This window comes from Homo sapiens, chromosome 4, assembly GCF_000001405.40.
Source record: "Homo sapiens chromosome 4, GRCh38.p14 Primary Assembly".
Classification (NCBI taxonomy): Eukaryota; Metazoa; Chordata; class Mammalia; order Primates; family Hominidae; genus Homo; species Homo sapiens.
In genome coordinates, this window is record NC_000004.12 from 184,427,289 (window position 1) to 184,453,893 (window position 26,605).

At 45.5% G+C, this 26,605-nt stretch overlaps 1 protein-coding gene across 1 annotated transcript in view, besides 4 other annotated features; it reads right to left on the reverse strand.

Annotated features, from left to right (window-relative positions):
- Window positions 1–26,605, reverse strand: part of IRF2 (interferon regulatory factor 2) — an 86,822-nt gene that overhangs the window by 39,560 nt on the left and 20,657 nt on the right. The window contains exon 2 of the mRNA NM_002199.4: window positions 1,690–1,782. Coding sequence (NP_002190.2) covers window positions 1,690–1,776 — 87 coding nt within the window. The 5' untranslated portion in view covers window positions 1,777–1,782. The remainder of the gene's footprint in view (window positions 1–1,689; window positions 1,783–26,605) is intronic.
- Window positions 2,857–3,508: an enhancer, noted in NCBI's record as "H3K4me1 hESC enhancer chr4:185351299-185351950 (GRCh37/hg19 assembly coordinates)". NCBI's record gives its function as "activates a minimal SCP1, AML or CMV promoter by ChIP-STARR-seq in primed H9 embryonic stem cells {active_cell/tissue: H9 hESC(primed)}" and the evidence as "EXISTENCE:reporter gene assay evidence [ECO:0000049][PMID:30033119]".
- Window positions 3,509–4,160: an enhancer, noted in NCBI's record as "H3K4me1 hESC enhancer chr4:185351951-185352602 (GRCh37/hg19 assembly coordinates)". NCBI's record gives its function as "activates a minimal SCP1, AML or CMV promoter by ChIP-STARR-seq in primed H9 embryonic stem cells {active_cell/tissue: H9 hESC(primed)}" and the evidence as "EXISTENCE:reporter gene assay evidence [ECO:0000049][PMID:30033119]".
- Window positions 17,835–17,984: an enhancer, noted in NCBI's record as "active region_22218". NCBI's record gives its function as "activates an Ori minimal core promoter by ATAC-STARR-seq in GM12878 lymphoblastoid cells {active_cell/tissue: GM12878}" and the evidence as "EXISTENCE:reporter gene assay evidence [ECO:0000049][PMID:35858748]".
- Window positions 26,218–26,277: an enhancer, noted in NCBI's record as "active region_22219". NCBI's record gives its function as "activates an Ori minimal core promoter by ATAC-STARR-seq in GM12878 lymphoblastoid cells {active_cell/tissue: GM12878}" and the evidence as "EXISTENCE:reporter gene assay evidence [ECO:0000049][PMID:35858748]".

A 26,605-nucleotide genomic window follows, 5' to 3' on the forward strand; every position in this document is an offset into this window, starting at 1 on the left:
TCATTTCTATTTACTTAGTGCCTCACCTTGTTTCAGAAAGGCTCAGACAGACATATTCAACACAGTAACATTAAATTCAAAATCAGGCTGGGCACTGCGGCTCATGCCTGTAATCCCAGCACTTTGGAAGGCCAAGGCGGGCAGCACTTGAGTCCTGAAGTTCCAGACCAGTCTGGGCAACATAGTGAAACCCCATCTCTACAAAAAATATAAAAATTATCCAGGAGCGCACCTGTGGTCCCAGCTACTTGGGAGACAAAGGTGGGAGGATCGCTTCAGCACAGAGGCAGAGGTTACAGTGAGCTGAGATCGTGCCACTGCACTCCAGCCTGGGTGACAGAGGGAGACCTTGTCTAAAGAAAACAAAAAAAAAATCAAAATAAGTGGATAAAAGGAAAATAGTAAAAAGAAATAAGATTTGAAAGATATCTGAAAAGACCCAATAAGGCCAGGAATGATATTAGTTAAAAAAAATTATACTGCAATATCCTGTTCCCTTGTTGGAAGCAGGCTACAATCTGCAATCTGGCTCTAAGCTCTTGTACCTGATACAAAGATAAAGCCTGGCCAGCTAAATTATTCATTGTGTCCTTAAGATTAAAAAAGAAAAGGGGAGGGAGTGGAGAAGAGGAAAAAGGCATTGACTCAGAACTGTTCTGGTAGGAGAGGAACTTCTCTCCTGGGCCTCCTTAAAGAAGGCATGATATATATTTAGTTGCTTTTCTAGATTATATAGTTCTAGAAGTTTTTCATTTTTGCCGACATTATCTCTTTCTGATTCACCCCTAACAGCTAGGATCAATTAAATTAAGAGTTTTTAGGTTAACAAAGTAAGGGAGTGTTTGTGCCTGGAAGGGGCAGGTTGTAAATGACTGGCTGCTTTCTTAGGAAAGGTGGACACACAGATAGGGCTTCATTACAGAGGTAAAAAGAAGGCTTTTTTTAAAGACAAAAACAAGCTTTCTTTAAACAGAGAACATGGAAAAGGAAATGCTCCATTCCTAATATAAAACCCTGGAGTTTCCATGTCCTCTAGTCCTAAAAGGCCAGGAGAAGCAAAAAAAAGGAATTTGGAGAAGGAAGAGGGTAAGAATCCTCAAAGAAGCAAGGAGCTTTCCAAAAAAAGCAAGGAGCTTTCGAGAGGCAGTCAGCCAAAACACCAAAGGTGAGCAGACATTGGAGACTCCAGGCTGAGGCTACAGTCGTACAGGATACAAATCCTTTTGTGACCGGGTTCAGTGGCTCATGCCTGTAATCCCCACACTTTGGGAGGCTGAGGTGGGAGGATCACTTCAGCCCAGGAGTTCAAGACCAGCCTGGGCAACATGGCGAGATCCCAGCTCTACAAAAAAATACAAAAATTGGCCAGGTGTGGTGACGTTTACCTGTAGTTCCAGCTACTCTGGAGGCTGAGGTGGGAGGATCACTTGAACCCAAGAGGTCGAGGCTGCAGTGAGTTATGACTGCACCACTGCACTCCAGCGTGGGCCATATAGTGAGACCCTGTCTCTAAAAGAAAAAAAGCCTTTGAGATGATAACTTGATGTTTTATGATCATTTTGGGTTGGCTGGTTTTTGTCATGAATAAGCCTAAGATTTTGAATACACACGATTTTACTTTCAGCAGTCCGCATGGGCGTGTTTCAGCCAGGACCTCTCTCACACATACACCCACCCTGACCCACTCACCTTGTTAAGCCACTTGAGCCCCGGGATCGTGTTGGAGTTTATCTGCTCCTCCAGCCACGGGCGCATGCGCATCCTTTCCACCGGCATGGTGCCCTTGAGGGAGAGAAACACAGCGTCAGGCGTTGGTGCCACTCAGTGTGGTGTCTGCACTGCAGAGTTCTACACCCCGCCTGACTCTTTCCTTCTCTCCTTTCCTGGGGCTGGGGACCAGGGGGCTGGGGGGTCGGTGTACTCAGGGGCTGTGCCACCTGTGCAAGCCCAGCCCTCGCACCGGCCAGGGGGCTATCTGGAGACACAGGATGGTCCAGGCCTGCCCTCCGCTGGGAGGGTCCTATGGACATTGGAGACCAGGACCCACACTCCTCCCCAGGAATTTGCCTAGAGGGAGGCTTTATCCCCACTGCACTGGCCGTGTTTTGAGGCTTCCGTTGCTCAGAGGCCCCAACGCCTTTGGGGATGATCCTTCCAAGAGCCAAGGGGTGGGCAGAGCAAAGCAGTTGTGGGAAAAAATTATGATAGCCAAGCCATTCCTTTTGAGAATCTGGGTTATACAAACGCTTTCAACCCCCAATATTAACATTTAAAGCTCGAAAGGAATCAGTTAATTTGGCTTTCCCAAAGTTTTCCACCAACTACCCGTCCCTCCTGACTTTACTTCCAGAGCCCCTGGAAGCCTGCACAGGTATCTCCTTTGCTTTTGCTTTTACCCGAATGCAGTCTCTCACCCAAGTGTCTTTCTTCAATGCCAGCCTCCCCGCTGACCTGACATCACCCCCTTTTCCTTTAACTTACTTTCCCTTTGAAAATCATTTTCATAGTCTGACCACCCTTCCTCCGCCAGTCCACACAATGCCTCCCTGCTGCTTCCAGATTCCTTTCTAAGATAGACTTCTCCTGGTCCATCGGAATAGATCCAGAGGGGAATCACTAACAAAGTACCTTCCACACTGTCCCCCACTCATCTTCACCCTATCTATGCCTGCATTCACATCTAATCTGGGCTCCAAAAGCAAAGATGGGTCAGGTGCAAGCCTCCATTCTATAGGACCTCACAGACAGTGTGACACTGTAATCCTCTTCTCAATCCTGATTGGTCCCTTCCTTCTTTTGTTCATTTCCTCCAAAATTGAGCTCTGAAAATTCTATTCCTTGGCATTTGGGCTGATGTCTCAATAACTCTCCTTCCCAGCTTGCCATGGACTTCCTCTCTCCTCTATTCCCTGCGCCCAGAACATGCCAGAGTTACAAGCATCCTTCCGTGACCCCCAGCCCCTGGGCCTCACCCTGGGCCTGTATGCCTCCTGCTGTCTGGCCCAGCCTTTTCCTTGTATGCCTCCTGCAGTCTGGCCCAGCCTTTTCCTTGTATGCCTCCTGCAGTCTGGCCCACTGACTGCTGCAGACACCTCCTGCTCCGTGCTCATCCCGTGCCCTCTGCTCTTCATTCCCTGGCCTTGCAGGTCCTTATCCGCCCTCTAAGACCTAGCCTCCTCCTCCACAAGGGCTTCCCAGACCACTCCCGCCTAAAGTAGTCCCTCTGCCTCCAGCTCCTATGTTACTCACTGATCTTACACTGCTCCTTTGAAAAACCAAACATTGCTTTAGGGCAGTTGTTTTAAGTAAAGTCTTTCATCTTATCCCTTGCCTTACCTATACACCTCTCAGCTGTGTATAGTCCACTCTCTTTTCCTAACCAAATTTAAGTTCTACCGCAGGAAGAGCATCACCTTTTTTTTCTGGAGGCAGGGTCTCACTCTGTCACCCAGACGGGAGTGCAGTGACATGATCACAGCTCACTGCAGCCTCAACCTCCTGGGCTCAAGCGATTTTCCCACCTCAGCCTCCCAGTAGCTGGGACCACAGGTGTGAGCCACCACGCCCAGCTATTTTTTTTTATTTTTTGTAGAGCTGGGGTCTCCCTATGCTACCCAGGCTGGTCTCAAATTCCTGGGCTCAAGCAGTCCTCCCACCTTGACCTCCCAAAGTGCTGAGATTACAGACATGAGCTCCCATGCTCCGCCCTCTTCTAGGTCTTTTGCTAGTCCTACAAAGCGCAAATGTTGCCTTCCACATAGGAAACACTCACTGCCAGGCCCAGGCCAGCTCTGAAGACGGCTCTGAGGGCCTAGGTGGGGTGCCGTCAGAGGTTGGCCTCCTCCACTCATATGGAGGCTCCAGCCACCATTCTTTGAGACACAAACGGGAACCTTAGAGATATTTCACAAGAACACGGAATGGCCACAAGGAGTTGCAGATACTGCTGCTCTTGGTCTCATTCATTCATTTGTTCCATTCATTCATTTGTTCATCCACCCATTCAAAGGTCATGTATTGAGAATGATGCTCCAGGAACAGGGAAAGATGACATTCCCTGCCATCTAGGAACTCCCAACCTAACAGGACACTGGAAAGAAGGGAGGTACCATGCCCCATGAAGATGATAAAGAGTTTCAGAAAAGACTAGGGAGTGCTGGGAAAAGCTGTGCACAGAGGAGTGCACTGGTGACCCCTCAAAGGCTCACCCTGCAAGAGCTCTGCCCGCCAGGGTGGTGACCACCAGCCCAGCCTGATCTTCCCTCTGGAAAAGACCTCAAGACACAGATTGGAGACCACTAAATCCAGAGCGGTCAAGAAAATAGAGGGAAGAGCGAGGGAAGAGTAGTTACAGGATAGGGGTAGGTATAGTGGTCACGAGTAGAGAGCAACAGACGCCAGTTCTCCTGACAGCCTGACGTGCAGAAGTGCTGTGCGTGGTCCCTGGCGCTGCAGCTGAGCCTGAGCCTGGCAATATGGAAACACGAGAGGCGTGTGGAAGTGGCCCTGCCTCCAGCTAGTACTCAGAATATAATATTTCCTCCATTATGTTTCTCACAAATAACCAGTTGGGGGAAAAAAAAAAAAAAACAATGGTCACATCTGAAATAGTTCAAAAAGCCATATGGTATGGTTCCTATTCAGGTGACCCCCTCCAGCCCACAGTGGTTCCCGTTCTTATATTAGTGATGGCTTTTAAAGTTCTCACAGACAGGCATCTCTCTGAAAGACAGCGAAGATCAGTTTTAAACGGAAACAGTAGTTGAAAAAGTCAATTGTCAGGTAAAGCAAAGCACCAAGACAAAAAACCCAACTTTCTGTCTTTAAAACTAAAGCCTGTGTGTGAAGACACATTCGATCCACACTGTTCGCAGATTCTGTATCTGTGAATTTGCCTACTCACTGAAATATATCCACAACCCCCAAATCAATACTCAGATGCGTTGGTGGTCACTCGGGGACATGTGCTGAATTCAAGTCATCTGATGCACGTGTTCCCAGCTGAGGCTGGACAAGGCCACACTCTGCCTTCCCGCTCTTGCTCTCCTATGGCAGACAAGTGTTCTTTTCACAGGCTACAGAGTGCGACATTTGTCACATCGTTGTGCTTTTTTTGGTGACTTTGCTGTTTAAAATGGCCCCCAGGCATTGTGCTGAAGTGCCTTCCCGGGTTCCTAAGAACCAGAAGGCTATGATGCGCCTTACAGGGAAAATACGTATATTAGATAAGCTTTGCTCAGGCATGCATTATAGTGCTGTGAGTTCAATGCTCATCAATCAACAATAAATATTACAGAGGGTGTCTTCAAACAGAAACACATAAGACAAGGTTATACAATGATCAGCTGACAAAATATTGTGACCAGTAGCTCGCAGGAACCCGATGTCCTTATAAGAAGAGGGAAGTGTGGACACAGACACAGAGAAGAATGCCGCGTGAAGACACAGACACAGAGGGAGGATGGGCACGTGAAGCCAAAGGCAGAGACTGCAGTGAGGCTGCTGCAGCTAACCATGCCTGGAGCCACCAGAAGCTGGAAGAGGCAAGGAAGGATTCTCCCCAAGACCCTTGAGGCAGAGCAGGGCCCTACTGATGCCTTGATCTGAGACTTCTGACCTCCAGAATTGTGATGGAATACATTTCTGTTGTGTGAGAGCCATCTGTTACGGCAGCCCTGAGCAACCAACAGAGAAGGGAGAGCTGCAAAGGCCCTGAGGCAAGGTGGCCCCTGTGGACAGCAGTCAGTGACAGGGAGGGCCCAGAGACCCGGCTCACCCAGAAGACCATGCCTAGGATTTTGGTCATGACCACGATCTAAGACTGAAGAGGAAACCGAAGGATTTTAGCAAAAGAATGATAGGGTCAGTTTGGCCAACGTAAAGGGAAGAGCTGAGTGTGAAATCCTGAAATCCAGCGCTTCGCCAACTTGAACGTGCACAGGAATCCCAAGTCAGTGGATTCCAGGCGACCGCTGTGGTCTGCATCTCTGACAAGCCCCTAGGTCCTTGGGTCACACTCTGAGAAGCAAAGCTCTAGAGTCCCCTTATTGTTCATGCTCAATGGCCTGGCTCTCCCATGCTCCTGCCGTGTGGTCATTTTGGCCATTCTGATAGACTCCTCCACTGGTCGGCGTGCCGGGCTTGTCATCCACCGGCTGGGTGCATTCCTCACTTACGCAACATGCCTGTCTAGTAAGGATGCAGCTCAGCCAAACCGCAAACTTATTAGAAAAGTTCACAATCTTCAATCAGGACTGTTACTAATTATAGGTAACTTTTAGAAAAAGCAAAAAATCGAACAAGTATTTCATCAGAGTAAAAAATAAACTTAAAAAGGGCTACACTTATTTCAGGTTTTGTTTGCTTGGGTTGGTTGGTTGGTTGGTTTGTTTGTAGCTAGGACATCTCCAATGAGACTCAATGAAAAGCTAACCCAGTCACATGAAGGCCCTTCTCCTTTGTGACTTGATTTTTCTCCCCTGACCCATCTCCCACGCCCTGGGCAGGTAGTGCATTACCAGTGCGCTTGCCTCGCGACACGGTACAAAGTTTGCCATTTGACACAGGTTTCTCACGACTAGCCGAGGGTGAGCGTACATCTTTACTTCTGTGAAAAACAGCAAAGGCAGAATCTACCTCAAGCCTAGCACCAGAAACGGATCATTTAGTTGGACACTATAAACAGATTAATTATGTTTCCGGAGATTAAAAGACTGAGATGACAGGCACAGAGGGTCAGAGGACTGAGGACTGGAAAGAAAGATGCTTACTCGGTATGTATCGTCTAGCTTCCATTATCGAAAGTCAAGGTGACACGCTGGTCTTTCTGTAAGGCAAGCCTCCCACAGGCGCTAACAGTCAGGCCACGTGAACCTCGAACAGAGTTAGAGAAGGCAGGTAGCTCAGTGGAGATGACACAGAGCGGCTATGTTTGTCTAAGAACCAAAATGCACAGAAATCAGGACATTGTGTCGCGACCTTGACTCTGCCATTGCTGGTGTGTGTCCTTGGGCTAATCCCTCCATCTTCCCGGCCCACACTTTGATCATCTAGAAAAATGGGACGTTTTAAACAGATGATTCCTGGGGTTATCCATGATACGATGAATCATAATCTGATGTTTTTTTTTCTGTAAGCTTCTCTTCTTGCACATCAGGTTGTTTTTAGAAGTAAAATGCTAAAATTTTATGGTTCTGCAAACCTAATATATGAGCAACCTGTACTTCAAAGTAAGTAAAAGAGTTGAAGCATCTACCCTGGAGCCTGACGAAAGGCACGTTGTAAAATCATCTACCTTTACACCTTTGAGATTTGAGGCTGGGACTGGCTTCAAAACTGTGGCATCTGGCCATAAGTCAATTCAGCCCATGGTGGGTACTGAGAATATCACTGGTGCCAAGCCTGCTATATAAGGCATGCAAGCTATTCATTGTGATTCGTAAGTCACGAATGATCCCCCATGAAGTTGACAGTACTATCCATGATTAGTGCTATTAACAGTGAGGTTGAATTTTCACCCAAATAACTGAATTTTGGTTCTTGGAATAGTAAGAGCAACGGTTACCATTTACAGAGCACCTACTATGTGCTGGGCATTAAAACTAGGGTTTTCTTGCTAGGTGTGGTGGGACACACCTGTCTTTTCAGCTCCTTGGGAGGCTGAGGTGGGACAATCACTTGAAGCCAGGAGTTCGAGGCTGCAGTGAGCCATGATCACACCACTGCATTCCAGCCTGGGTGGCAGAAAGACAGCCCCTCTCTAAAAATAGAAAATAAAAAACCTAGGGTTTTCTACAAGTTTTGCCATTTAACCCTTACAACCCTAGGACATAGGGACTTTATTATCCTTTATTACCTGCTAGTAAGTGGAGAGCCAAGACTCTCATTTAAATTCAGGCCTATCTAACGTGAAACACCCAGGCTTATCCACTCTAACCTCTGCCTTCATCGTACTTTAGAAAGCACTGAGTTATGAAGACCTCTTAATTGTTCTACTTACTGAGACTTTCCAAACTCCTCTCCGTCTTGCAAACCACTGACAGTCATCTTCCTAAAATACCATTTAATCATGTTAATTCTCTGTTCCAGAGACTTCTAAATGTGCCTGCTGGATTTAAGGTAATAAATTCCTTAGCTGAGAGGGGGGTGGTGCTTCTGGTAATGGTACAGTAGGTAATTCAGACCTGACTCCCAGGCTGAATAACTAAGAAACATGGACAAAATATATTTTTAAAATCCATTTAAATGCATCAGAGAGCTAACAAGGTAGTTAAAAATTAGGGGGGCAAGATCTAGGAGAAAAAGAAACCCAGGAAGGTGAACCTGACATTTAGGGCTGCTGTCGTCCTAGCGCAGGGACAGCTGCTCCTTTCTGAAGAGGAGGCTGTGGGGCTTTGAAAGCAGAGCTTTTGACACACTCAGGTGACTGAGGAGACAAAAATTGAACATCAGGATGCAGCTAGGAAAAGGGGTTCCTGGAAACACCCTCACAAGCTTTGTAAGTAATACAACTAAGTAGAAATAAACTAATATCAAAGGCTGAAGCCCAGCTTTGAATCATCTCAATCCCTGATCTAATGAAAATGACCTGGAACTACCAAAAGTAAATAGAAATCAGATCTTGAGGAACATAACATTACCCTAGGATTCATATTATCTCTGGAGCTTTTCTTTTTTCTTTTTCTTTTTCTTTTTTCTTTTTTTTTTTGAGACAGAGTCTCGCTCTGTCGTTGGGCTGGAGTGCAGTGGCTCGAACTCGACTCACTGCAACCTCTGCCTCCCAGGTTCAAGCAATTCTCCTGCCTCAGCCTCCGGAGTAGCTGGGACTACAGGTGCCCACCACCATGCCCAGCTAATTTTTGTATTCTCAGTAGAGACAGGGTTTCATCATGTTGGCCAGGATGATCTCAATCTCTTGACCTCGTGATCCGCCCACTTTGGCCTCCCAAAGTGCTGGGATTACAGGCGTGAGCCACTGCGCCCGGCCATGGAACGCCTTTTCTTATTACCCAGTCACCCAATGGATCAGCAAAAATTCATTAAACACACATTGTTACAAGGAACTGTGCTGAGTGCTGTGGGGGATTCAAAGACGGTAAGACATGATCACTACCCTCAAGGAACAAATAAGTTAACTGAGGATGTGAGAGATAAATCACATAAAGCTAACTAATAATCCTATAATTATAATAATAAAAGACTATGCAATAAAGATCAGAAGGTAGTGTATTATTAATTGCCAACTAAGTTAGGTAGTTCATAAGGAATACATAAATCATTGTTAAATGGGCATATAAGAGAAAGCTTTATGGCAAAGGAAAGCTTTATGGTAAAGGAAGACCTTAATGGATGGGGAGGTGCTGTCTAGGCAGGGAGAAGGTGGCAGGCAAGCCAGGGGAGGTAAAAGGTTGGTATCGGCGGCCAAAGCAGGACTGAAGATGTGTTTGCTGATGTGAGCAGAGCAACTGTCTTATGCACCAACAGGGGTGTCTTCATAAGAGTCACTGGTGTGTGAGAAGCAAGCACTGGGTATTTCACATCAATCATCTTTAACTCTCATAACAGCTCTAACCAGTTAAATACTAGTATCCCCATTTTATTTTTTCATTTTATTTTTGAGACAGGTCTCACTCTGTCACCCAGACTAGAGTGCAGTGGTGCAATCCTAGCTCACTACAGTCCTGACTTCCTGGGTTCAAGAGAGCCTCTCACCTCAGCCTCTCAAGTACCCAGGACTACAGGTGCATCCACTACACCCAGCTAATTTTTTGTTTTTCGGGTTTTTTGAGATGGAGTCTCGCTCTGTCACCCAGGCTAGAGTATAGTCGTGCAATCTTGGCTCACTGCAACCTCTGCCTCCCGGGTTCAAGCAATTCTCCTGCCTCAGTCTCCTGAGTAGCTGAGATTACAGGCATGCGCCACCACGCCCAGCTAATTTTTTTGTATTTTTAGTCGAGACGGGGTTTCACCATGTTGGTCAGGCTGGTCTTGAACTCTTGACCTGATGATCCACCTGCTTTGGCCTCCCAAAGTCCTGGGATTACAGGCATGAGCCACCGCGCCTGGCCTAATTTTTTAAAATATTTTTGTAGAAACAGGGGTTTCACTACCTATGTTGCCCGGGTTGGTTTGAACTCCTGGCCTCAAGTGATCCTCCTACTTCAACCTCCCAAACTGCTAAGGTTAGAGGCATAAGTCACCGTGCCCAGCCTATTATCATCATTTTAGAGATTAGGAAAAGCATAGCCAAAAAGGCAGCCCCCACAAAAAATAAGAAGAAGAAATAAGAAAGAAAAGAAAATGTCTAAGTCACCCACGCCTCTAGATGAGGAGGCAGGACTTGAACCTCAGGAGGGTCTCAGATGCCCAGCTAGAGTCTGAGCTTGTTTACGCAGGCTGCTATAATGACTTCTGAGTGCACGACTTGGGAAAAGCCATGCTTCAGTTTCACGAGTCATGCAGCACTCTATACAGAGCCAAATGGAGGGAAGGAGGTGAGCTAGAACTACTGCTCTGGGTCAGGACAGTGGCTATTGGAACGTACAAAAAAAAAAAAAAAAACCCACACACACGATGACACGCGTATAGGAATCTAACAGCAGTGTTTAGTAGTAATTTTTCCTGGGCACACAATAGTCTTTTCCCAAATGCAAGTTCCTCCTGCAAGTTCCTCACAACGACTTCTGTGTGCTTTTTCAGCAAAAGTAAGAATTTCCATGAAAGTTATGTAAATTGAAAGCTGGAGTTAGAAGTTGAACATCATCATCATCATCCCCATCATTAATACCATTCCAGCCCTAACTAGAGCCTGACCCTCAGCCCAAATGCCTTTCATGCGTTATTTCACTTAATCTTCCAACAAGCCACATGAGGCAGAGTAGCTACTCTCCATTCTACAGATGAGGAAATGAAGCTACTTACAAAGCTCCACTTACAGCCATTAAGTGGTAAAGCAAACATTCAAATCTACATCCGTCTGACTCCAAAGAATATGCCAGAAACCTCTAGACCTGTGTTTTGCAAGTCTCTGCTAACAACCCACCAGAGGGTCGTGGGATCATTTGTTGCATTAAGATCAGCACTTTTAACTTAATTTTAATTTACAATATGATAGAATGGAAAATGAGGGAGCACCCCGAACAAAGTGAGGTAAGCATTGTTTTATGAAACGTTTGCTTCCATTTAATGTCACATTATATTATACTGGTCCTGGGGTTGAAGGGGTATAAAAACATTGCACTAGGCTGGACTGCCTCCCGACAGTGTGTGTGCAGGTGTGTGCGAGCATGTGGACGGCAGAGAGAGGGAGGGGGCACTGTGGGAAGTAGAATGCAGAAGAGGATATGTGATTCGCCTGCCTTGGCCTCCCAAAGTCCTGGGATCACAGGCGTGAGCCCCGCGCCTGGCCTAATATTTTTAACATTTTTGTAGAAACAGGGAAACAAGGAGAAGCATACCCTAAGAGCTGTACTGACTGCTAAGAGGTAGAAATAAAATGTACAAGAACTTCATGGCATGAAAATAGTATGTTCGGAGCAAAGATAACAGGACCCCCTATATGAGAGAGGAAGCATGGCCTGAGACCTTCCTATGCGGCCACGCTTCCTCCTGCTCTGCCTGCGACATTCAAATCACTCTCCAGACTCTCATGGGACCCTGACGGCTGAAGTCAGCCATTGCCAGTCCTGAAATCAGAAAGACGTTTAACGTTTGGATGGAGGGCTAGATACGGAAAAAACCATGCCTCTCAGTGTACATATTATCTGCACCAATGCAAAACTGATTTTTATGTTTTGTTGAACTTTAGAAAGTCATAGGTTCATTTAAGAATGGGAGTCTCCAGCCAGTCTTCCTCATAAGGTTTCAAGCAATTCAACCACCAATTCTCCTACTACGTAGATTTTTCAGGATGAATGATGAGGCAGGACTGCTACTCCAAATACATCATAACCCACCTTTATTCTTTTCTGTTCTGTTCATGCCACTATCCCAAAACTGCCTTGCAATGCTATTACCTTAAAACTTTAAAAAAAAAAAAAAAAAAGCGGGGCGGAGCGGGGGTACTTAAAAAAAAAAAAAAGGTCCCTGGCCCCACTCTAATAAGAACCGGGAATTTTTTTTATTATCCTAGAATAATTTTGATAAGCAATTAAGTATGAAAATCACTGTTATTTAGTATCCATTAACCCAATGGACTTCCAGATTCCAGATGTTTAATAAACATCTCCAGTTGAGTCATGGGAAAACAGGAGGCCAGTGGTGAATAGATTTCATCATTAATGGAATAGAAACGTATATGAAATCAAAAGTCTAAAATGCTTTCAAATACCACAAAACTAGTTTTCCAGGCTGAAAATCATCCAGATTACAGTTTTACATATTTGCCATTCTATGCACAATTTTCCTATTAGGCACGTTTTCTATATCCTTTCGGAAGCTATTCCCATAGCTGCTTTATAAAATTTACCTTGTCTCTGACCACAGACTCCTCTGGTACCTGAAATGTGTGCTGCATCCGAACCATAATCGAGCAAACTGACTTGGGGCCCCTATGTGTGTGTGCACAAAAGTCACCTGTCTATCACTGGTTCTTGGTTCTGCAGATGACCCAGTGGTCACTCTAGAAAACAGTTCTCAATGCAGCCTAACAAGAACAGCAGCTCTTCGTCCAGAGATCAAGCCTTAAAAATACATGCAGTGTGTTAACGTTCACCCAGATGTGTACTTTTCTGAGAAAGGTCCCCACAAACTCTCAAAGGGCAGTTCCCTAGGCAGATGTAAGAAACACAGTGCAAGAACACGAATGGGAAAGCAGCTAGACCTCTCTGCTGACATTTTCTTGACTTTCCCTGGCTCAGTAGCCACTTCCCTGGCCCTCCCACCCATTGCCATGTCAGCCACCAAGGGGTGCAGTCTCCATCTGTCAGACCATCCCCATTACCCACGGCCTCCTTCCATGCTCCCGCGGCAGCCTGTTCAGGGGCTCTCCGCTCTGCCCCGAGCTGCTGCAGCGTCCCTGTCCCGGCCACCCTCCCTTCAATCCACTTCCACATTCCACACAGCGGAGGCCTATACTTACTGCGTGTCTGCTGGGTGAGAGTACAAGACTACGTAGGCTTATATATTAACGTGGGCAGCAACGTTAACATGGGATTCCAGCTCCAGGGGCCTCCCCGGCCCCATTCTCCTTCCCACACAGTGGCCTGGCCACTTTCCCACTACAAACGGGCCTTCATGCCTCCGTCTTGTTTGCTCACACTGCAAACATTTGTGAGAGGCTGGAGAACCTCGCAGCAGATGGGCGGCTGATCGCCTCATCTGAGCTCTCAGAGTCTCTGCCTCTGCAGATCTTTTTTGCTTTCTTCTCCCCAGGTCCTGTTCCCATTTTCCACAGGTGCAATTTCAGATCCCTCCCTGCCTCCAGCTTCACAGAGAAAAGAGATCTGCGAGGCTCTTCTTTCTGAATGTCTACCTCGCCTCCCTCTTCATACTCACTTGGGTGTGACCTTTTTCCCTTTCTTAGACTAGATGGGTGGGAGTGCCACTCTGCAACAGAAGATGTGGGATGTTTGAGGAGAGATACTGAGAGTGGTTTGGGGCCTACAGGGTTGGAGATCTCTGGGATACCCAAAAAGAGGTGATGGCTGGGCTACTAGCTGTGCGAGGCTGGAGCTCAGGAGAAAGGCCTAGCCTGGAAACGTCTCGCCATACCTTGAAAGATTGTTCAAATGTCTCTTTTCCACAATACTTGGCCTGGCCAACACAAGACACATACATGCCCCCTTCCCTTGAAGTCATAAAACTCACTGCCTCTAACAGTGAGTTAGCACGCATCTTACACTGTCCTAAAGTCACTGGTTCATTGTGATGTGCTTTAATCCACTGAGACCAACGCTCCTTAGGCCTAAATAGGCCTTGTACTCTGCACCCAGCAAACACCCAATGAATGTAGACCAGCACTATCCAGTAGACATTTTGCAACTATTAACTTGTTATTTATCAGGGCAGTCAACAAGGTGGCTCCTGAATACCTGAAATGTGGCTACCATGAATGAGGAAAGCTTTGTCATCAAAGATGGAAACATCGTTTCCCGGCCGGTTCTAATCTTTCCAAATCACAGTGAGTGGTCAGGTGTCTGGTGGAAAGAAAATACCTGCTCGTGACACCCCTGTAATGTTCCTGCTACTGAAACAGCTTTGTTTTGGGAAAAGCTTAGTTTTAAAAAGCCTGATGCACACTCTGCAAACTTAATCACCTTTGGAACACAACCTGTTGGTAAGCAAGGGAGCTTTTCTGTGAGTAACTGCCTCATCCAGATCTAGACCTGCAAACCCTTGAAAATGATACCAGCTGGCCAGCAGGGAGTGTCCCACTTACCAGGATGTTGTCAATATCCTCCACCATGAGGGTATTAACAATAGCTAAGGAGTATTAAGCGCTTAGCAGTGTTAGGCAAGTTCTAAGCACGTTAAGAGGATAAGCTCACCTGATTCACAGCATCCCAAGAACGTGGGTACTACTGTGGTCCCCATTTTATAGATGAAGAAACTGAGGCACGTAAGGTTAAGTAACTTCCCAAGGTCACAGAGCTACTGAGTGGTAGAACTCATATTTGAACTGGAGTCTTAGGCCCTGACTTAGCATTTGGATATGAGGCTCGCACAGGCAGGCCAAACTGGGGTTCACATCAAGAGGTAGAGAGGGCCCCACACCTCCGTCTGACCTGGCATCTGCACTGGGAGCCTGTGTGGAAGGGGACACAGCCAGGGCAGCAAGATCCCCACAGCCTGCCAAACATCGTTCCAGCTCCTGAGCTGGCCCGGGTGCACAGGAAGCAGTTTCCCAGCCTCCTTTATGCAGCCCCTTCCAAAGTCACACTTCCTGCCCCATTTAATACTTTCCCAGCGAGTGGGCATCAACAAAACATGCTGCGTTTCCTGGCCAACCCGAGCTTTCCTTTTGTAGTCCGGACTAGGAAAACACTCCCATACTCCAAAATAAAGATACTCGCCCTCTCTCCACCCCTTCACCTCCATGCTCTCTTTAAGGAAACAAGAGAGAACCAGAGGGGCTTTTTCCTGGCTTTGCATCACCTGGATGCAGATGAATCAGTTGTTTCATTTTAGTTGCTGCTTCTGCCATAAAGCAGGGCCACCTGGGTGCTTCCAGGGTCTTTTGAAGGCAGAAGGGGAGGAAAGTGTGCCCTGCCCAGCCCATAACCGATTAACCTGAAGAACTATTTCAGAAGCACAAGTAAGTCCCATAGAAGACAAACGCGCCACTATCTTAATGTTAATTTCACATTAACATTTATTTAAGGTGCTGAAAACCAGTGAACTAGTAAGCATCCTCAATATTTGTCAATTTCCACCTCCTGCCGTTTCAGTGCATATGAAGAGCAAACACTTCGTTATGGGGCCGTTTTGCTTCCCACTCTAAAAATGACCTCATTTTTAGTATCAGGACCTCCAAGAAGTACAAAAACCCTGTGCCCCAAAACTCCTTTCTCCAACCTACTTAAATCTCTCAGCCCTGTTTGTTTTTTACCACTTGATACCAAGTACTTCTCTCTTGGTCTTCAGAAGATAACTTTGTGGGGGTGGGGGTGGGGGTGGTGGGGGCAGCGGGGTGGGAGGGGTTGTTTTGTTTTGTTTGAGACAGAGTCTCACTCTTGTCACCCAGGCTGGAGTGCAATGGCACGATCTCTGCTCACTGCACCCTCCGCCTCCCAGGTTCAAGCGATTCTCCTGCCTCAGCCTCCTGTGTAGCTGGGATTACAGGCACGTGCCACCTTGCCCGGTGAATTTTTGCATTTTTAGTAGAGATGGGGTTTCACCATGTTGGCCAGGCTGGTCTCAAACTCCTGACCTCAGCTGATCCACCCACCTCAGCTTCTCAAAGTGCTGGGATTACAGGTTGTTTTTGTTTTTGCTTTCAGTTTTAAATTCAGGGGTACCTGTGCAGGTTTGTTACATGGGTATATTGCAATGATACTGGGGTTTGGGCTCCTAATGATCCTGCTGTCCAAGTAGTGAACATAGTACCCAATAGGTAGTTTTTCAACCCTTGCCCTACTTCCTCTCTCTCCCCTTCTGGAATCCTCACTGTTTCTTGTTCCCATCCTCATGTCCATGTGTACTCAGTGTTTAGCTCCGTCTTATAAGTGAGAACATGTGGTAGTATTTGGTTTTCTGATTCTGTGTTAATTCATTTAAGATAATGACCTCCAGCTCCATGCTTCTTATTGTGAATGATTTCATTGTTTTTATGGCTGCATAGTATTCCATAGTGTATATATACCATATTTTCTTTATCCGGTCCACTGCTGATGAGGACCTAGGTTAAGTCCATATCTTTGCTATTGTGAATAGTGTTGCAATAAACATAAAAGTACAGGTATCTTTTGCTAGAATGATTTCTTTTCCTTTCAGTATATACCCAGTAATGGAATTGCTGGGTTGAATGGCAGTTCTATTTTTAGTTCTTTGAGAAATCCAGGAGACAGTTTTAAATCCACCCATCCCAGAAAGCTTTCCCTAGCCAGTGTAAGCTCATCTATGACCACAACTCCTGCTGAGATGACAGCCCTAGGAAATGGTTTGGGTATTAATGGTGATCAATCATGTCTGACCCTTAGCTTATTAATTTGGCAACATGCAAATTCCTAATAAGTGATTAGGCCCTTCATAGGCCTACCCTTATTCATCATGGAGTAGGATGGCAGCTGCAATGCAGGACTCAGGATGACACCCGAGGTCTGACAGCCACATGACTCCAGGACAGCACAGCCCCCTAAGGGCAGGGCAGAGACCAGGGAAGACCTCGGCGGCTCCCATATCCATGACAAGTGGGCAGGAGCCAGCCTTGGCTAGTGACGCTTTTTTATCACTATACTGTATATGAGATGAGGAGAGGAACCTTATCTCATATACAGTATAGTGATAAAAATGAGACCTTAAATGAGAAATCAACAAGCCATTGCCCCAAAAATTCAGAAATCCCCTGGTGCTGGTCACCATCTCCACAACTGTAGAAGCCATTCAGGTCTCCATCCGGCAACTATAGCCACTTCCCAGGGCACTGCTTCAGGAACCAAACGCAGAAGGTAACAGAACCCAAGACCCTATGCCTCAGTTTTCTCCTCTGTAAAATGGGATAACTTCCGCATGGTTTGCGGTAAGGATTAAATAAGATGTGTAACATGCCTAGCCTAGTACCTGATCCATCAATAGTTGATATTTAACAAATAATAGTTTCTGCAGACACAAATTTATGGTCAACATTGTTCAAAGAGCATTATTTATATAGCAAAACTAACCCAAATACCAGACAGTGGGAAGATGTTTAAAGAAAATGTAATAGAGTCAAATAATAGAGTATTGGGACTACAGCAGATTCCCTCATCTCAACAAAGGGATGATTTATGTCCTGGGCAGGAAGAGGTGGGATGTTACATTCCATCATGCTACTTGCAACAGTGCACAATTTAAAACTTATGAATTGTTTATTTCTGGAATTTCCCATTTAATATTTTCAGACCTCAGTTGACCATGGGTAACTGTAACCACTAAAAGCAAAACCACAGATAAGGGAGAACTACTGTCTAGAATATTTAATTTGTGCAGGAATGCACAGAGCATAATGTGAAAAAAGTCGGGGAGCAGGTGGTTTTAACCATCAGGGCAATCAAGGACCACGCGCAAACTTCCAGGCCCTGCCGTACCATGGTGGCTTCCCCATGAGTCCCCAGCTGAGTCCACGTGCTGACACGCTGCTCTCTTCCCCCACAGCACCAATGACAGTCAGAGTTCCCCGTTCACTCACCCTTACAGAACTCAGAGCATGCGCCGGGCTGACAACATGCACCAAGAGACAGTTGTTTGACCTGGAACTGGGCCTCTGGGGGGCGGGGGTGTGCCCCAACCCCGGGTTGGCACAGAACAGAAGGTGAACGTGTTTCCTGAACAGCCCAGTGTCATCACACTAAGTGCCATCCTGTGCTCACTCTTAAGTCCTGAGTTTTCCAAGACTGTCCTGATGTCAGCAGGGTGCCCTAATTTTAGATGAGAAAATAAGAACAATAGGCCAGGCACAGTGGCTCACACCTGTAATCCCAGCACTTTGGGAGGCCAAGGCAGGCGGATTACGTGAGCTCAAGAGATCAACACCAGCCTGGTCAACATGGTGAAAGCCCATCTCTACTAAAATTTATATAAATTAGCTGGGCATGGTGGTGTGTGCCTGTAATCTCAGCTACTCAAGAGGCTGAGTCAGGAGAATCGCTTGAACCCTGGAGGCAGAGGTTACAGTGAATTGAGATCATGCCACTGCACTCCAACCTGGGCGACAGAGTGAGACTCCATCACAAAAAAAAAAAAAAGAAGAAGAAGAAGAACAATACAGTAATAGAGAACATTCTTCTCAAAACAACTGAGTTTCCTTCTTCCCTTCCTTCCTCCACCCTTCCTTTATGAATGATTTACTCCAAAAGCCCATTTGATGCAACGCAGCAAAGAAGATGTACTGGGTTGAACAGTGGCCCCCCAACATTCGTGTCCACCTGGAGCCTGTGAATGTGACCTTTTCTGCATATGGAGTCTGTGCAGATATAATCAAGTTAAACGAGGTCATACCAGATTAGAATGGGCCCTAAATCCAATATGACTGGTGTCCTTTTAAGAAGAGGGAAACTTGGACACAGACACACATAGAAGAAAGGAGAATGTTGTATGAAGACAGAGGCAGGCATTAGAGTGACTCCTCCATAAGCCAAAGAAAGCCAAGGATTGCTAGCAGCCACCAGAAGGTAGGAGAGAGGCATGGTGCAGATTCCCGCTCAGGGTCCCCAATAGGAACCAACCCTGCCCATACCTTAATTGCCAACTTTTGGCCTTCAAAACTGTGAGGGAATAAATTTCTGTTGTTTCATGCTTCCCAGTTTGCGGTAATTTGTTATGGCAGCCACAGGAAACTAATAGAGTAGACACTAGGGGTAGAGGGGCAGGTGCAGCCAGGGTAGGTATTGGCAGAAAGAGAGCACCTGTTAGGGTGGCTGGGGCAGCAGCCACCTGGCACACAGAATACAAAAGCCCATGTGGGCAGTGAGGATAGACACAGGAGGGAGACCACAGCCCTGTGCAGGGGCTGGGAGCCAGAACAGGGAGGTGAGGAGGGCATCGTCATTGTGGTGGGGCAACCGTGGGGACATAAGACCACATACACACAGGCAACTGAGTAAATTATATTATATACCAGGGTAATGGAAGTGAGGCTTTTGACTACTGGAGAAGGAAGTTACAGATACAGAAAGAAAGAAAACTACAATAACCCAGGCTGTGGCACTAGAATAGGAGGACTTGATTTGAATTTGTGCTTTTTCATATATCTCAATAAACACAGAAATAAATACAGAGGTAAAAAAGCATGCATAGGAGGCGGACGGATCACGAGGTCAGGAGATCGAGACCACCCCGGCTAACACGGTGAAACCCCGTCTCTACTAAAAATAAAAAAAAAATTAGCCAGGCGTGGTGACGGGCACCTGTAGTCCCAGCTACTCGGGAGGCTGAGGCAGGGAGAATTGCTTGAACCCAGGAAGTGGAGCTTGCAGTGAGCCAAGATCGCGCCATTGCACTCCAGCCTGGGCGACAGAGCAAGACTCCGTCTCAAAAAAAACAAAAAAAGCATGCATATGTGTAAGTATATATGCAACTAATACACATATTCTCTAACCTTGACACTAAAAGGGCCTGGGAACAGCAAGACCCCAACAGCAATGAGCACAGGCAGTGCACAAATCTTGGTTTCCAAACACCATCCTCCACCAAAAGGAATCAGGGCTCCTTGGAGAAATGGCTGACTCCAGAGCTGGGGCAGGGAAAGCAAAAGATAAGCCTGGGAAAGGAAATAAGGAAGGGCTCAAAAGATAATAGCAACATGTCAAAAAAAAGTCACAGAACCCAACCTGATGGAGCTCCCACTGGCCACATCTAAGACAATCTGAGCACCCAAATACATGACTGAAATGTATTTCTGTCATTGAACAAAATTGGAATCTACGAATAAATAAATAGGGGAATGAAAAAGCTTTCCCATAATGTAGAATGCAAACAAATAAATGTAGGAAGAATGATGGACTTAGAAGATCAACATTTGGTAGCTATCAAAGTAGTACTCAGCCAAGAAATACCAATGGATGCTAACCAGTGAGTAAAAGGCTGGTGAAAAATGGGATACTTACATAGCCTCAAAAATACCTCCCACAAAATATTTTTTATGACAAAGGGAAAAAGACTAACTTTATCATGGAGAAGGCTGACTGATGGCTCCTTAATTAAAAGATCAAATGAACGTTACGAATTAAGGGGCAAATCAAAAGCATGTATCACCTGTAAGGATGCAAGAAGAAGAAAGTCTCACCGCCGTGATATTCTTGTAAGAAATGCATAACCAGAAACGTCAACAAGCCCAAACGGATACACATTCTCTAAGAAAATTGCCTTGTCATTGTCAAAAGTGTCAAGTTCATGGAAGTCAAGGAATAATGAAGGAGGCAGGGCACCGAAATTCAACACCTAGCCCTGCATCAGATTCTCCTGCTGCAAGGGACATGACTGAGACATTCCAACAGGAACAGGGTCTGCGGGTGGGAGGCGACTCACACAGCGGTGCTAGTTTCCTGATTCTGATGGCCGTGCCAGGGTCTCAATGGAGACTATCTTCGTTACAGCAAAGACACATTCAAGTACTCAGGAGTGATGGGATATCAGTATTGGCAAGTTACTCTCCAAAGATGTAGAAAAATAATTCTTTGTACTATTGTTAAACTGTGGTGGAAGTCTGAAATTAGCTCAAAAGAAAACGACTTGGCCAGAAAGACAATACCAAGTAGGTAAGTAATTTCCAGTACAGAGGGAAAGACGACGACAGCCTTTCTGCAAATACAACAAACTCTAGGAAACCCCCTTTGTGGTGCTTAAATGAAGCTGCTGGCGGTTTATTCGTCCTCCGTGCACCAGGATGGTATTAATAAGCACATGCATCAATCACTTTATCTATCCATCCATAAGGGGCAGCTTAATCAAGCAACAATTAGCTGAACAAGGAGGCTCTAAGCTTCATTTCCTGGGGGAGATGAGGAGTGATGGTCCATAATTCATTTAAATTGTTCAGTTGTGTAGAAGAGGAGAAATAAGACGGCCAAAGAGCTCTCGTGCGTATTTGAGAGAAAAGCGCTCAGATTTAGGCGCCAAAGATTTACCTCCAGCCAAACTTCTGTGCTAATTCAATAGAAGTTATTTATGTTTTATATTTTAAAGCACAGAATTGGTTTCCAAGTCACTCTGCCTCACCTCAAAGTTAAGGTGGAAGAAAAACCGCCAGAAGTGCCATCGCTGGGTCACTGATAGATTTGCAAATTGTAGATGTTTGTCCTCCAGAGGCCCCTCCACCACCAGTTCTCTGCAGGACACTTCAGGGTTCCCAGCGCCCCAAATCTGGCATTCCCAGAATAGTTTCATTTTCGATCATGACAACAGTTCCCACTCCCACAGCTTTTCAAGCACTTGGCTCAGGGAAGACCCACTAGGAGTAAGGGCTTTGCTTTTTGTTTCTTGTTTACAACGTTTCCTCGACGTGTGCAAGACGGAAGCCTGAACAACTGTCAGTTCCACTTGCTCGTACTTGGCTGAACACTGCAGTTACTCCCCTGGCCTCGGACTCCGGAGAAGAGCACACAGCACTGTCCAAGAACAGCTCCCACACTGAGAACAGAAACCGAAACCAGGGGTGAAGAACCGATCCTTCCTTCCACAAAGCCTGGACCAGGCAGCCATTCAGACTGCTCTCCTCGGCCCCCAACCCCAACCCAGCTCTGCCCTACAGCCAGAACACCCTTCCAAAAGCACAAACAGACTCTCATCATTCCACTGCCTAAAGCCTGTCCTTACCCCACAAGCCTCCAGCGAGGGGTCCGTCCCAAGTCTCTGCGTCTGTCACCCCTCAGCCTCAAGAGCATCCCCTCTCCCAAGCTAACTCTTACTCATTTTTCAGATTTGGCTTCAAAGTCACTTGACAGCAAACCTTCTCCATTTCACCAGGCCAGGCCCCCAAATCTGTAGACAAGAATCTCCATGAGGACCAAAGTCAATTCTGTTTTGTTCACCATGCTATTCCCAGGGCCCAGAGTACGGCAGAGGCCAACGCTCAATAAATATTAGTTGACTAAATAATGAACTTGCTATATACGCCCAGCACAGTGATACGCAATGACGGAAGGAGCTTGCAGCCTAGAAAGAGAAGACAGGGACACAGGCAATCACAGTGAGGAGAAGGATGAACTGCCATCAAAAGAAGCGTGCACCAATGCGTGGGAAATGCCATCTAGACAGGCAGTCGGGGATACCTTACCAATAATGCTTTAAATGACTTTAGGTTTTCAAGATACAATCTGGAATGTTGTTTATGTAGATCTTGTTTATTTTATACATGGGAATTCACTAGAAATGTACTGATGTTCACCAACACTGCGCTGGCCGTTACCAAGAACTATGGTATGTGGTTAGTATGGTGACCAAGCCAAAATGGAGCACTTCTGAATGTGAATGGGGTCTCATTAATACTGACACCTGAAACAGATATAAAGAGCGACTGTTCCTGGAAACACCAGGATGTGAGAAGCCTCTGGTTGTAGGGGCTAGGTATACTGACGCAGGCTCACCGTCTTCTATTCAAAATCTTGGGGCCAGATAAAGTCTTCAGAATTCAAAAGTGTGTGGATGTTAGCAAGATAATGCGGTACACATACCATATACCACAAGGAACAAAACACCCCGGAAAGTAATTAGGGCAGAACCCCTTAATCCAACACAGTTAATATTTCTGCAGTGAAACACGAACATTCACACTGATTGGGATAAATAAAAGCTATGAATAGCTTCATGTCAATTCAGGGCAGACTATCCTGCCAAATGAGTCATGATAATAACTTTCAGTTTCAGAGCATTTTGGATTGCAAATAAGGGATTTGGGGCTTGCAGTAGATTTCAAGTTATTTCAATCTTTGGAATATATTATTGTTATCACGCTACACGAAAAATCAGCATCATTTTCCTTAAACTGTATTTATATTACACATTAATCTGGCACACACTAGGCTTAATGTAGTGAATAATAGCACTGTTTAGTTCTGAAATGAAAAAATGTAATGCAAACTATTTCTGCTTATTAGAAAGTGGAAAAATACTTTTCCTAAATATTTTTATAAAATTTGAAATCTTAAGTAGCCATTTAAAAGTATTATTTCCTTTAAGTCGAGTTTACCTAACAATACGTATGTGCTTTACCTTACCAATCAAATACATAAAATACTTATAAAATAAGAAAAGCTTTAAATATTTAGATTCAAAATTTCTTTAAAATAGTCTCCCTAAGGTTCCTTTATGATGGCATTTGTAATATCATTGTTCTTTCTCCATGACATTCTAAATATTTGATTTAAAAACTAAAGTTATTATAAAAATACCTTTCCAAGGATCACGTTAAATGGCATTTGTTTGTTTGTTTGTTTGTTGCTGTGCATGCCCTATGAATGACATCCACACCGTCCACTGAGACCAGTACGTAAGCAACTGCTCCATTTCACATGCCCTCCTCCTCCACGGAAGCCCTGGTGCAAACCGAAAAGACTAAATACCCAGAAGCACAAATGCAAAAACAGACACAGGAATTGTCTGGCAAGTTTACCTCCTCCATTTCTTTTATCACGTAATTTTGAATCAAATGGCAAATATTATGCAACGTGAGAAGTTGAAAAGCACTGAACTGTTTAGATTCCATGGTACTTGGGTAGAAATTCAGTTCAAAGAGGCACATACTTCCTCATGAAAGTGTGAAGAAAGAAGAAACTCTAAAGGTAAAGAGGGTCAAGGTGAAGGGGCCCCAGAGACCTTCCTACCATAAGGGCCAAGGTACTTAAATCAGCTTCTACATTTGCAGGCACTGAATTGTTTATAAATATATACATGCAAAAGTCCAAAGTTGCTTCACAAAATTGTTCTCCTGATGTCTAGGGAGATAATAGTGGTGGTGGGGATTGTGAGAGCAATGACTATTCACTGGGCACCCATGATGCACTCAGCATTAAACTCTATACATTATCTCATTTAACCCTCACAGTAACCCCATGGGGTCGTTCTCATTACTATCCTCATTTTAAAAGGGTGCTCTGGCTTAGCCCATGCCAAAGCTGACTCTAGGTCATCAAACTCCATTATCATGAGAACTGAGGATCCAAAAATGGGCTTCATCTTCAGGGGTATTCTTGGTAATATAGAACCCCTGGGATATAGTATTTTTCTACATGTGCCATTGATCCTGAAACATAAATGCTAGGAAACTGGTTTCCTTCCCCAGCTGGCACTGGACACCACACTAGTTCCTATGGTTGTCTCCTCCTGTCAGGAAAGTGAACATTGAAGTCCCCCAGGCCCACAGATCAGAAAGAAAACACAAGCCAGAATGTTCCCTGGGGCCCTTCCCAACACTTTCTGCTTGCTCAGTCTTTGTTCAGAGTGAAAGGCAATTAAAAATACAAATCCCCCATAAACAGGGATGGAACAAGAAGATAAGTTAGCAGCTGTCTGGGACTCTTCCTAAAAGAGGAAGCCTTTTGACCCTGTATGACCCTAGGGTTGCACCAATAAAAACATACACATTTTTTGCAATCTCTCACACCAAATGCAGCAGCAAAGACAAGCAAGGGTTTAAAGCCTGAAATCCCTACACAATCTCTGTAAAACCTTCACACCTCTATTTGGAGACCCTCCTCAGGTGATGTAGGGACCCAGGCCAGGCCCAAGTCCCCCCAGCACTGCAGTCATGGGAAATGATGCTGGCAGAGGTGACAGGGGCAACGACAGCAGCACAGGGGCACAGGAGAGCTGAGCAAAGGGGCTGGCTCTCCAAAGTGACCATTGCTTCTTTCCAAATTATACCGCTGCACAAAGAATGCGAAGACCATAGGCTTCGGCCCAGGAAAAGCATTCTGCACCTGTCCTACCTGATGAATCAAGAAGCAGAGTGAAAGACGAGGCCATAGCCATATCCAGAGGCTCCCAGAAGGAAGGAGTCTCATCACAGCCTCTCTTTGCTCATGTTCTCATGCCGGCTGCCATGGAAGTGCAGACCGGGCGCAGCAACAACATGGACCGTGGAGCTCTGCGGCACTGCCTGCTTTCGCCCCCAGCTCTATCATTTAGCTGTGACTTTGGGCAGGTTACTGACCTTCTCTGTTCTCATCAGGCTTTGTGAGGATTAAATGAAGAAGCATGTAAAATAAGGCAATGCGGTGGCTCACACCTGTAATCCCAGCACTTTGGGAGGCCGAAGCAGGAGGTTCATTTGAGCCCAGGAGGTAGAGGCTGCAGTGAGCTATGATCATGCCACTACACCCCAGCATGAGCAACAGAGCAGGACCCTGTCTCAAAAAAAAAAAAAAAAAAAAAAAAAGGGAAAGAAAGAAAGAAGAAATAGAGAGAGAAGAAAAAAGCAAATAAACATGTAAAATATCTAGAATAGTGTTTTGCATCTTACATGCACTATGGGAGTATAAAATAGGTACAAAATTTCCAAACAGCAGCTTGGCCAAGGTATTAAAAATTTTAAAACTACACCCTTGGACCCAGCCATGTCACTTCTAGGAATGCTTCCCAAGTAATCTAATCATGTGTGAAACATGCTGTCTTAAAATTAAAAAAAGAAAAAACTACAATGATCTTGAAATCTGATGCAGATACACATGTAATATTCTTTTCTGTAAAAAACAGACAACATGAGAAAACTGTGAATTGCAGATAAATTACCTTCCAGATACATTTAAATTATGAAAATCTAAGAGTATTTTTTACTCCATCATTTTTTTAAAGAGCATTTTCTAGAAAAATTTATGCAAGGCCATTAAGACCTAAAAGGGTAGACTGACTTTTAAAAGTATTTTATAAATTGAAACTCATGCTGGGACCCTTAGGTGTGTTTGGCCCTGGGTCGCAGCATCTAGATGGCATCAGCCTCTGCAATTCAGCAAAGCAAGAATCATGCACAGATTTCAAAGCATATGGACTCGAGCACATACTGCATTTTCAAAGCTTCTTTCCATATGGAAAACGGGAAAAGAAGTGATCCTATATTTCCCTTAATCAGCACGTCCTCTGAGCACTGCCTTTGCAGTACAGGAGAAGTAACATGACCTCGAGAAGGCACAGCTCCTCCTCCTCAGAGTGCAGTAGGAAGTTCCTTTAAGACTGTGTCAGCCTGCAGTATGCAAGCCGGAAAAGACCTCTCAGTCCTCTGATGCAGACACTGGAGACGTAACAGTATAGAGAACAAGTTCAATAAGAGGAGGCACGTGGGAAAAGGGTAGACATCAGAGTGGATAACTGAGCCATGCTGGCTTGAGGAGGAGGAGCGTGGCAGAAACGGCAGGACCTGAATTACCTGAGCTGTTTGTGTCACCCAGTCACCTTTGACTTCATTTTTGAGCTCCACAGACCTCAAAAGGTGTGTTTTGCCCCTTCAGGAACACAGAAAAGACAAGGGGACAAGAGAGAG